The sequence below is a fragment of the Homo sapiens genome, chromosome X (assembly GCF_000001405.40).
Source record: "Homo sapiens chromosome X, GRCh38.p14 Primary Assembly".
NCBI classification, from domain to species: domain Eukaryota; kingdom Metazoa; phylum Chordata; class Mammalia; order Primates; family Hominidae; genus Homo; species Homo sapiens.
The window spans coordinates 143,637,665-143,649,864 of record NC_000023.11 but is presented as its reverse complement, the minus strand read 5'-3'; positions in this window follow the sequence as shown (position 1 = coordinate 143,649,864).

Genomic DNA, 12,200 nt, shown 5'->3' with positions numbered 1-12,200 from the left:
TGGAACAATATGCCTATGAAAGTCACCTGCCATTGACAGTTTTGTCATCTCAGAAGATGAATCCTGATTACCAAGAAGAATTTTTGTTGCTGCTACACAATGTAAATAAAATCGAATATGTTCGGAACTGCCTTCTTAGTACTTCCACGCTGCCTCTTAATCTTTTCATCATCAAGAGAAAAGAGTAACGGAAAACTAACTCAAAAAGGAGGAAGGCAGGACTAAGGATTCAGACCCTTTGAGAATGTCACTGTATAGGAAAGAATACCTACTAACTGAGTCCTGGTTACAGCAAAGAAACATGGAAGGAGTATTGGAAGAAGGTATTCATAAGAATTATTTGTAACCTCATGAAAGAAAAAGGGCTGTATCAGCTATGCCTATTTCTTCCCTTGATTTTTGTGTGTGTACACACACACACAAACACACAAACATATATAATAATTCATACATATGTATATATACACGGTGTGTGGGTGTGTGCAAGTGCACACAATTTCTTTTTTCCTCTCTGCAATTTTCCCCCTTGTTATTTTATATGAACATTTTTGCTAGCAGTTAAGTTTACAATGTAAGCTTTAGATTATAAAATGTTCAGGCGGAATTTAAGGCTATTTAATATCAGCTAGAGATGGACATCATAAATGTTGGAACTTTGTGTTAGGAGAAAGGGGAAAACATCTTTATTTGGAGGAAGGATAGAAAGCATAGAGTTTTGTTTTATAGAAGTTAAATATTTGTAGGAAGGCTACAGATCGTAAGTAATCAGAGTAAGCTGTGGTGATTGTTATTAAGCTGTTGTCTCTCAGCTACAAATAAACAATTCTATACATTGTTTTGTGGTGCTGGCACCAGGATGGGACTCTGCATAACACATGTCTCCTTTGCTACCTGGTTTTGCCAATAGGGGCACTAGAGGGAGGCTACAAAATTGAAAGAGAAAGAAGACATCTGATCCTTCCTGATTACTTGCTAATCCTGTCAGCCTTGCCCAACCACTGCCCTTTACCCTGCCAGTAGCAGTTAGTTCCAGTCTCAATTTTCCTTCCCAAAAGCGTTTTTTTGTTCATCCATGATGACTATACTAGTTACCTGCCTTATAGAGTCATCAAGGAAAAATTTTGTGCATCATACTGAGAACCAGGAGACACGGGTTTTTTTAATTGTTGTTTATTTTTGTCTTTTTCTTGTTCCTAACTTACAAGCTAATGTAACCTTAATCAAGTTAGCTTTGTGCATTTCTTATTTTATAAATAGTGATGTGTTTTTTATAATCTACAAGAGTGTTGTAAGCATAAATAAGAAAATACCTGTGAAAAGCCTTAGATTCAGAAAAGAATAAAATTTTGTGCTAAGATTCAATATGGCCAAAGAAATAATTGTTAATATTAAGCCTTTTGGAAAATATACAGGCACCAATCCAGATGAATGACTAATAAACAGAAAATCAGTCAAATAAAAGTACAGCAGTAGTAGCAGGGAAAATATGTTTTTTTTTCTTCCCAAATAATTTATTTAAAGAAAAATTAAACTTCAAGTAGATTGAATAGCAAAAGGGAATTTCAGTATAAGATGCTAAACACCAAATATTTTGGAATGGCTATTTTTTTGGCTTTCATCTATCTTTCTTTGTTTATGGAAGAGAGTACAAGAGGAGGTGGGAGGAGTTTGTTTATATAGTAAAGCTATGAAACTGAGAAGAGTAATGACAAATCTTGACTACTAAATTTCTAATGTAATCTTTGCTCAAACTCCAGTGCAACAATCCCATAAGAACTGTTTATCGGTGCTGGGATGAGGAAAATCACGAGTTAAGTACTATGTTAGAAAAAAAAAAACAGAAAATTTTTTAAAAAGGGTAAAATCTCTTGACATCCATAAATAACAATTAGTAGACATCACTGTCAGGCTCAGGTAGAAGTCCCAAGGCTAAATGGCTATAAGAAGTATATTTAAAGTCTGTTTTGACCTATTAAAACAATCAAAATATAAAGAAATCCACATTTTAGCCTTGTTAAAATAATTTTAGTAGGATTTCTCTCTTTCTTGAAGTATTTATCAATTGGCCCATTTAAATATTGAGGCACATCTGTGTATACTGGTTAAAAATAAAAAGTAATAATGTAAAACTAGACCTGCTTATATTTAAGATACTATTGCCAGCTGCTCTTGTTTCCTGAGAACCAGTTGCAGTTTCCTGCTTGTTATTTCTCAATCACTAGATACATACATACATATATGTATGTATAAAGTAGAGAAGACAGTTTTTATTGTATTTGGCTCTCAGTTCCACTCGGGAAGCCAAGTCCCTAACACTATATACACTGTATACAGCTGGCGCTCAGTATCAGTGCATTCAACCAACTGTGGACACAATGAGATTGCATCTCACGCCAGTCAGAATGGCAATTATTAAAAAGTCAATAAACAACAGATGCTGGCAAGGTTGTGGAGAAATAGGAACACTTTTACCCTGTTGGTGGGAATGTAAATTAGTTCAAGCATTGTGGAAGACAGTGTGGAGATTCCTCAAAGACCTAGAACCAGAAATATCATTCGATCCAGTAATCCCATTACTGGGTATATACCCAAAGGAATATAAATCATTCTATTATAAAGATATATGCACGCATATGTTCACTGAAGCACTATTCACAACAGCAAAATCATGGAACCAACCCAAATACCCACCAGTGATAGACTGGATGAAGAAAATGTGGTCCATATACACCATGGAATACTATGCAGCCATAAAAACAAACGAGATCATGTCTTTTGCAGGGACATGGATGGAGCTGGAAGCTATTATCCTCAGAAAACTAATGCAGGAACAGAAAACCAAACACCACGTGTTCTTACTTGTAAGTGGGAGCTGAACAATGAGAACACATGGACACAGGGAGGGGAACAACACACATTGGAGCATGTTGGGGGGTGGGGTATGGAACGCATCAGGAAAAATAGCTAATGCATGCTGGGCTTAACACTTAGGTGATGGGTTGATACGTGCAGCAAACCACCATGGCACACGTATACCTATGTAACAAACCTGCACATGTACCCCAGAGCTTAAAATATGAATTTCAAAAGATCTTCATAAAAATAACAATAGAACAATAAAAATAATACAGTATAACAACTATTTACATAGCATTTACATTGTATTAGATATTACAAGTAATCTAGAGATAATTTAAAATATACAGGAGAATGGGCATAGGTTATATACAAGTACTATGCCATTTTATGTAAGGGAATTGAGCATCTTCGAATTTTGGTATCCTGGGGGTTCTGAAACCAACTCCCCACAGATACCAAGAGAGGACTGTAATGTTCACACCCCTGAAAACAACATGAGGATCTCTTCCTTTTTCATGATTTGCAAATCAAATTTGAGAAGACCCTTATTGTTTTGGTATCTTCTTCCATTTTATTTCTTTTGCATATGTGAACTACTTCAATTTCTGGCCCTTCCAAATGATTCCATTTCTTATTTTATAGAACATTTCCTGTTAATGTACTTTCCAAATATGCCTGGCACATGGTAAATTTTGACTCTATATTCTGGAGGAATATCAAAAATTTGGACTGTGTCATCTCCAGAAGGACATACAAGTTGTTGACCTTGCCATGTGATGGAAGGCAGTGTTCTGATTTTCTTAATTTCCTTGAATATGTGCCATGGAAGCTTACCATTATTGCCTTTAACTATAGTATTTCACAACATTTTATAAAACCGAGAAATTTAGTAAAGTTTGAGAATGAGCGGTCAGTAGTTAAAGGACATGTTCAATCAATACATTATATAGTATTGTTTATTATAACACAATACATGATATAGTATTGTTTAGTATAACATAGTCTCATCTGCTTTATCACTAAACTAAGTGATCTTGGAGGACAGAGGCAGTTTCCTTCACCTTGGCACCCAAAGTCTGATGAATTATAGGCATTCAATAAAGATTTAATAAACTGTACTTTATGGTTGAGCAGATTATTTGTAGTCAGTCACCTCTACTAAAACTCCATATGTTCTTGAAATTCTTGGAGTTCTTGGAGAACAAAAGGAAAGATAATTTTCTATTACTAGGACAGAATAAAACATGCTCATTTGTTTTAGGTGTACATTTTGATTCTTCCAATGTGCAGCTATCAAATCAACCATTAGGATGGGGATGGCAAGGGCGAGTGGTACTGGTTTGTTTCAATTCTGGAGAGCTTATGTCTATGTGGTTCACAATGTGATATGGCTCACTAGGAAGACTAGGAAGTCTCAGGATTAAATTTGCCCTTTCCCAGAAAAGCTCTGAGTACAAATGTGTTTAATTCAGAATTTTCAATCAGTGATAAAGAGGACAATATGCTTCGTTTTTTAAAAAAAGGTAATTACTTGAAGTGGTTAATGAGTTGACTAAGAACAAAAACCTGCTTGAGAGTTATGTGTAATTTAGATATTGTGTGCACGAGTATGCTGAAATGCCATTTGTTTCTCCTTTATCCATTTTCCCCTGTAGGCTGGTCTGTTCTTGCCACTAGTCTTAATAAATGATAAAATCAGAATCTCAAATGAATTGGAGATACCTTATATAATATTTAATAATGAGCTGAAAAAGAGACCCAAACACATTCACTATTCACTTTTTGAGCCACAATCCAGTTAACCATCAGTCCTTGACCGTCCTTTGTTACTACAAAAATACTGTATGAAACTATCTCCTTACAGAGTTTCCACTGCTTACCAAACTCAACTTGTTTTACAGTAAGACACCCTTACCTCGGAAATTTCTCTTTTACAAAATCTGACAACTTTTTACAAATGCTTTTAAACCAAAGAGAATTTGTCAATATATTTAATTTCGTGTTTAAATTTTGGTAGTAACTTTGAGACCGTCAAACTATCATGTAAATCTTTCTGTTCGCAAGACATAATTGGAGAAAAGATCAGCACAACTCTGGCCACTCACTAAATTTTATATTGGAAAATGGCGTTTCTTTGACCTTTGTCCAGATATCCTCTTAAAGTATACAAGGAGGGGTAGGAATGGAAGATAAGAGTCCCAGAACCATGGTCCCCTCACAGGGATAGCCTGCCATATGTCACAGAGGACAGATTCTCAAGGAGAAAATCTGGATGACTGTCAACAAAATTCCTCTCCTTTCAAGGCTCAGGAAACTCACATCTCAAAACACAGGCAAAGAAATGAAAGGAATAATCATTATATGGTCCATTTGTGATTTTTTTTCATTGCCCTGAGTGGCTGAATCCTGTAGTTTGGCTTTCTGGATATTTCTTCATCCATAAAGATAATAAAAATGAAATTTCATAGAATAGCTTCAGCTATAAATGGAAGTAAAATGCCCAAAAACTTGAACTATATGGGGAAAAAAAAAAGTTGTCTAGAGGCCATCCTTAGAATATTTTTTTTTAACCTTAGAATTGTTTTACTAGAGAAGGTATAAATAGAATCGAGATGATGTAAGTTAGATGTCAACATTTCCAACAATGAATATTGTAAGAAAAGTCAATTAACAATGGATACAATAGGCACTATATCTGTCTGAATAGTTATTAGATGATTGAGATTGAATTAATTTACACATAATTTATCACACGAATGTGATCTTAGGTATAATTGCATCACACCTTGTCAGATCTGACTTGCTTTTCTCTAAAAACAGCATATGCTACTCTTATGACAAAATAATCTTAGATAGAACAATACTAGTTCTTCAATGAGAACACATGGACACGGGAAGAGGAACATCACACTCTGGGGACTGTTGTGGGGTGGGGGGAGTGGGGAGGGATAGCATTAAGAGATATACCTAATGCTAAATGACGAGTTAATGGGTGCAGCACACCAACATGGCACATGGATACATATGTAACAAACCTGCACGTTGTGCACATGTACCCTAGAACTTAAAGTATAATAATAATAAAATAAATAAATAGAAAAAAAGAATACTAGTTCTTTAAGTCATTAAGTTTCTAAAAATATACATTTCCACTGGCAAAATGATAAAATTAGTGCCCCCAACTCACTTGAACTTTTTTTGCACATATATTACAAACAATAAAGCTATATACACGTTGGTTCATTTTTTTCCTTTCCTTTCTCTTTTCCTGTTTGCTTCCCTAAAAAAAAACCAGTGATAAGATTCAGAAAAATATATTTTTAACATTCTTTCCAGGGCCATTATGAGGAACTTTGTTGCAATAATGATAATACCCACTTTTCGTGGGTCTGACATGTAGAGGATGAGATTCTAGGTTAGTCTGGCAAGCAAGGCACGTACGATTATTTTAAAAAATAGTAATGGAGTCTGCAATCCTCAATTCTACAGAGATTGTTGTTAAAATTAACTTTTAAAAAAACTAATAATATGTGAAATGAGAATAGAAAAGTAAGTAAAGGATACCAGGTGGGGTAAGAACAGGTGGATTTATTTTTAAATAATAGTTCTAGCTTTTGAAATAAACAAAAGATACACTGAATTAATCCAACCACTCTCTTCTACTCGCCATCCTTAGACTCGAGAAGGGAAATAATACATGGTCTGAATTATTTGTTTTTTTGTATATGTGGAAGTCTTTTCTGTTTATAAACAGAAGGAAATAAAAATATTCTGCCAGAAAGACACAGTGCTAGGTGTTTGTCAAACATTATACTTGTTAATCCTCATAAACTCAGGACTATTGAGTTTGTCCTGCCCACTTTACAGAAAAGGCAATGAAAGCGCAGAGAAGTTAACTGCCCTAACTCACAGAACTATTAAATAGTGAAGCAAGAAATTAACACCAAGTTCATCTGGTTCCAAATTTCACACTCCTGAAACCCTGATAGATCTAATTTTATGTTTCCTGAATATTTACAAAACAGCAACAATTTCAAAAATTCTGTAATTAATTTTCTGAATAATTCACTGGAGAGCTTACCCTCAGTGAGCTCCCCATGACTGGGTGTATTCAAGCACTGAGTGTTCATTTGATAAGATATCAGTTTTGTGAGTGCTTAAACTAGAAGAACTTTGAGGTTCCTTCAAACCCTGTTTCTAATTGATAACCAAACTGTGCACCTGAAAGAGAAGAAATTCTCTGTGATGACAATTTTTCCTATACCCTGATCCCTTTACATGGGACCTGAGGACTGTTTACTCACGGCAACCTTACGTGGGTAGACATTACTCAATTTGAGTCAGAGTTGGGAATTAGCAGCTCCAAATTCAAACTGAAAAAGAAGGTAGTCAATCACAGATGCATGACACTAGCTTACACAGATGTTCTGCTTTCCTCTGACTCACTCTTTGAGGCTTGGAAAGGGATAAACTTTATTTTAATATAGCAATTGCAATACAGTCATACCATAACTCATATTTTTATATTATGCCTTTTCTGCCTTGTTTTATGCCTCCGGTTTTGACCCAACTTTTGAATTGTTCAAGAGCCTCTAAAACAAAGGAGGAGGAGCTGAGAACAAGATCAACTTTTTATTTTTTTTATTTTTAATTTTTGTGGGTACATAGTAGGTATATATATTTATGGGGTACATGAGATGTTTTGATACAGGCATGCAATGTGAAATAAGCGCATCATGGAGAATGGGATATGTATCCCCTCAAGCATTTGTCCTTTGAGTTACAAACAATCCAATTACTCTTTAAATTATTTAAATGTACAATTAAGTTATTATTGACTATAGCCACCCTGTTGTGCTATCAAGTAGTGAGTCTCATCCATTCTTTCAAGTTATTTTTCGATATTATCTCACTCCAGTTAAGATCACTTTTGAAAGAAAGATTTAAGTTTATATTTCTAAGGAAAAGTAATATTGTTATAAAAGCATTGAAAAAAAGACCCTCAATGCTTTTGCAAAACAATAATGTTTTGCTAGCTAGGGACAACACTGTGGTTCCCGAGATAGAGTGGAACACGATAAAAACAGAAAGATTTTTATCAACTTACTATCTCTCTGATAAAGCTTCAGTTGGTGTTATGGAACTTTTACAGCCCATAAGAGTAATTCTCACACTAGACTGTTTAGCTATTAACTTCCTATTTTTTATTTTATGATCTTTATTATCTTTGAGTTGTCTGAGGGCTGTTGAGCTTGTGGCTGGGCCCTAATCTTTGACAGTGAGATTTCTCCAAGTTAGAGAATATATAGAAAAGAGACACTATTTTGTCAGCATCCCTGGCTTAGCAATATTCTAAACCACATAGGTAGTTCTAGTTAGCCATAGGGACAAGTACCCATTAGGGGCCAAAGTTACAAAGACCCTGCAAAACAACATACCCCTCTTTATTATTATTCTAGAAATAATAATTTCTGAGTGAAGTGTTATTTGAAAAATTAGCCAATGCCTTGCTACACAGACTGTAATACATTCACACCTGATGCCTGAGTTTCTGAAAAGGACACCAGGTTACCAGCTGTACTATAAAGAAGTCTGAGCAAAATGGAAGGTCAGGTTAATTGATATAACCTAATCAAATAATCAACTAGTCTCACATTTTCCAATTCATTTGGTATCCTATTTTATAACAATCCTTTTGTCTTAACTGGAATAAGTCTAGGGATGAACACTACTGCTTTGCTTGGTGTGGTGGTTAATAATGAGCGTCAACTTGATTGGATTAAAGGATGCAAAGTATCGATCCTGGATGTGTCTGTGAGGGTGTTGCCAAAGGAGATTAACATTTGAGTCAGGGGGCTGGGAAAGGCAGACCCACCCTTAATGTGGGTGGGCACCATCTAATCAGCTGCCAGGGAATGTAAAGTAGGCAGGAAAATGTAAAAAGGTGAGACTGGCTTAGCCTCCCAGCCTACATCTTCCTCCCATGCTGGATGCTTCCTGCCCTTGAACATCAGACTCCAAGTTCTTTAGCCTTGCGACTCAGACTGGATTCCTTGCTCCTCAGCTTGCAGACAGCCTAATGGGGGACCTTGCGATCATGTGAGTTAATACTACTTAATAAACTCCCATATATATATATATATATATATATATATATATATATATATATATGTATATATAAAATATATAAGTGTGTGTATATATATATGTGTGTGTGTGTGTGTGTGTGTGTGTGTGTGTATATATATTAGTTCTGTCCCTCTAGAGAACACTGACTAATACACATGGCTTCATTTGGTGATAGTGAAAGTGATTATCCCTAATAAGGAACATTTGAGACATCATCACAGATTCAGAATCAACTCAGGTATGAGAGTTGAAAGAGCAGAATGGATAGAACAAGGCTACTACTGGCAAAAGGTAAAATCAGTTGATTCAAGAGACCTTGTCATGCATAATTGATGTGAACTGTTTTTAATGTCATTTATTTGTTTATTCCTGTGCTGAGTATTCATACTTTAATACTTGAAAACATTTATGTCTCAAGTATTCATCTTTGGAAAATTTATTCTGCTTTCAAATCTATCCCTTTCTCTTTTTTTGAGACAGGGTCACTCTGTCGCTCAGGCTAGAGTGCAGTGGCTTGATGATGGCTCACTGCAGCCTTGACCTCCTAAGCTTGAGCGATCCTCCCACCTCAGCCTCCCTAGTACCTGGGACTACAGGTGCACCCCACGATGCCTGGCTATTTTTTTAAATTTATTTTTTAAAGAGATGGCTTTTCACCTTGCTGCCCAGACTGTTTGTCTTGGCATCCCAATGTGCTGAGAATACAGGCGTTAAGTCACCCTGCCCAGCTTTCAAGTCTATTCTGCTTTCAAAGTTAAAAATTCCCTAATCCCCCTGTGAAAACGAAAATGTGGTGTACTGGAAAAACCTCAAAGATCTGGGGTCAAATCTTGACCATCACTTACTCACCATGTGACCTCGGGCAAACTGTTTACCTTCCCTGAATTTTATTTTATTTTATTTTATTTTATTTTATTTTATTTTATTTTGAGAGAGTCTCAGTCTGTTGGCTGGGCTGCAGCGCAGTGGCATGGCCACAGCTGATGGCAGCCTTGACCTCCTGGGCTCAAGTGATCCTCCCGCCTCAGCCTTCCAAGCAGCTGGGGCTACAAGCATGTGCCACCATGCACCACTGATTTTTGTATTTGTTGTAGAGACGATTTTTCCCATGTTGCCCAGGCTGGTTTTGAAATCCTGGGCTCAAGTGATCTCCCCACCTCAGCCTCCCAAAGTGCTGGGATTACAGGAATGGGCCACCATGCCTGGTCACTTAACCTCATTTTTAAAATAAGTATGATAATCCCTTCCTTGTTCATAGAACTAAATGAAATAATATTTGTAGGCAGCACAGCAAAGAAGAGGCACTCAACAGACAGTAGCTACTATTGAATGGGTTAATTATGATCTGAAAACTTCCTTTCATGTTCTAAATTCCAGAAAATTTGTAAAAATGGGCTATTAGTATGTTTTTCAAATTATATAGATAGAAAAAAGGGTTCCATTGTTAAGTAAGTCTGTGAAATGCCACATGCCATATCCCTTTTCCCTTGGTAAATAAAAGCTCATTTAAACATAATTAATTGTGTTGAAAAATCCCAAAGTAAAAATAAAATGTTTAGCTTTACGGAACCAAGGGTCTTTTAAACTTATTTGATCATGGAAACATTTCTTCCCAGAAGATATATTAACATCCTAAGAACTTTCTTGTATTCCACTTAGAGAAATAGCAAGTGTGTGACCGGACACGGTGGCACACGCCTGTAATCCCAGAACTTTAGGAGGCCGAGATGGGCGGATCACCTGAGGTCAGAAGATTGAGAACAGCCTGGACAACATGGTGAAACTCCATCTCTACTAAAAATACAAAAATTAACCGGGCATGGTGGCACATGCCTGTAATCCCAGCCACTCAGGTGGCTGAGGGAGGAGAATTGCTTGAACCCAGGAGGCAGAGGTTGCAGTGAGCCGAGATCACACTAACGCACTCCAGCCTGGGTGACAGAGTGAGACTCTGTCTCAAAAATAAATAAATAAAAATGAAAGAGAAATAGCAAGTTTGTAACTGTTAAAATGCCAGAATATAAATAAATCTTCAATATTAAAATACACTGAATCATCTGTGATACCTGGATACGAAAATTAAGGCTGATTTGATTTTGAGCAGCAGCCTAAGACAAGGCAAGATAAATGAGGAATACAGTGAAAGTGAAAGACCGCTGACTAGGGCCAAGACTTGGCATTATAATCACTTTCGGTTGGTAGTGTTTTAATGACTTAATTCCAAACTGCCTTCGGAACGGAGGGTATACAGGATCTTGTTGAAATTCTTAGTGCAGTTGTTTTTTTCCCTGATGGAGGGAGACACAGTATATCAGTGTAGACCTACGATTCTGGTTGTACTCCTAAAAAGTCAAGATGAAATAAGGTAAAACATTTGGAGGAAGACCGTGAGAGTATTGCAAAACTCACAATATTTGCATGCTTACATTTTAGGAAGAACATCAATTTTGTTTTTCTTTCAATGGCCATAAATAGTGCTGGAGTTTTCTTAACACTTTTATTTATGTATATATTCACTTCCTTTGTTAAGCTAGCAATTCTGTGTCATTTCCTACTGTTCTATTGGGATGTCACCTGTAGTTCTAGGGGACGGAAAAGGGACTGTGGGACTAAAGGATTGGGTTAATTACTTTGAAAGCAAAATAAGCATAAAACATGGAAGTTGTTACTTCTGTTTTATTTTATGAGTGTCCACTTTATCTTTTTAAGTAGCAAAACATTTTATTTTAAAGCATTCATTTAAAAAAGTTGAATATTAATCACAGATAAGTTCTTAGGAATATTATGAATTGTAATTTATCGATGATCTAGCTACAGTGGCTTTCAGATTTGTCTCCATATCCATATGAAAAATAACATTTCACAGTTATTGCAGTTAAATATAGCCAAGTCTCAGAACAGTTTCTAAAGTTGAATAAAGATAGGCATTTAAATCATCTGATATTTACTGTCCAAATCTGGCCTTTTCAGTTATCACATTACTTAGAATTTTCAGGTAAACTTTTTTTGCTCATTCTATTGACTCTTGTTAACATTTGTAGTAAAAGACAAACATTTCACCTATCTGGATAAAATATATTCAGCTTCCTGAATTGTTAGCATTTAGAATAAATGCCAACTTGTTTTGATACCCATTACTACTTTCAAACTGCATTACACAATAAAATGCAAATGTGAGTTATTAATTAGCAGGATCTGTTTTGTCCAAGTGT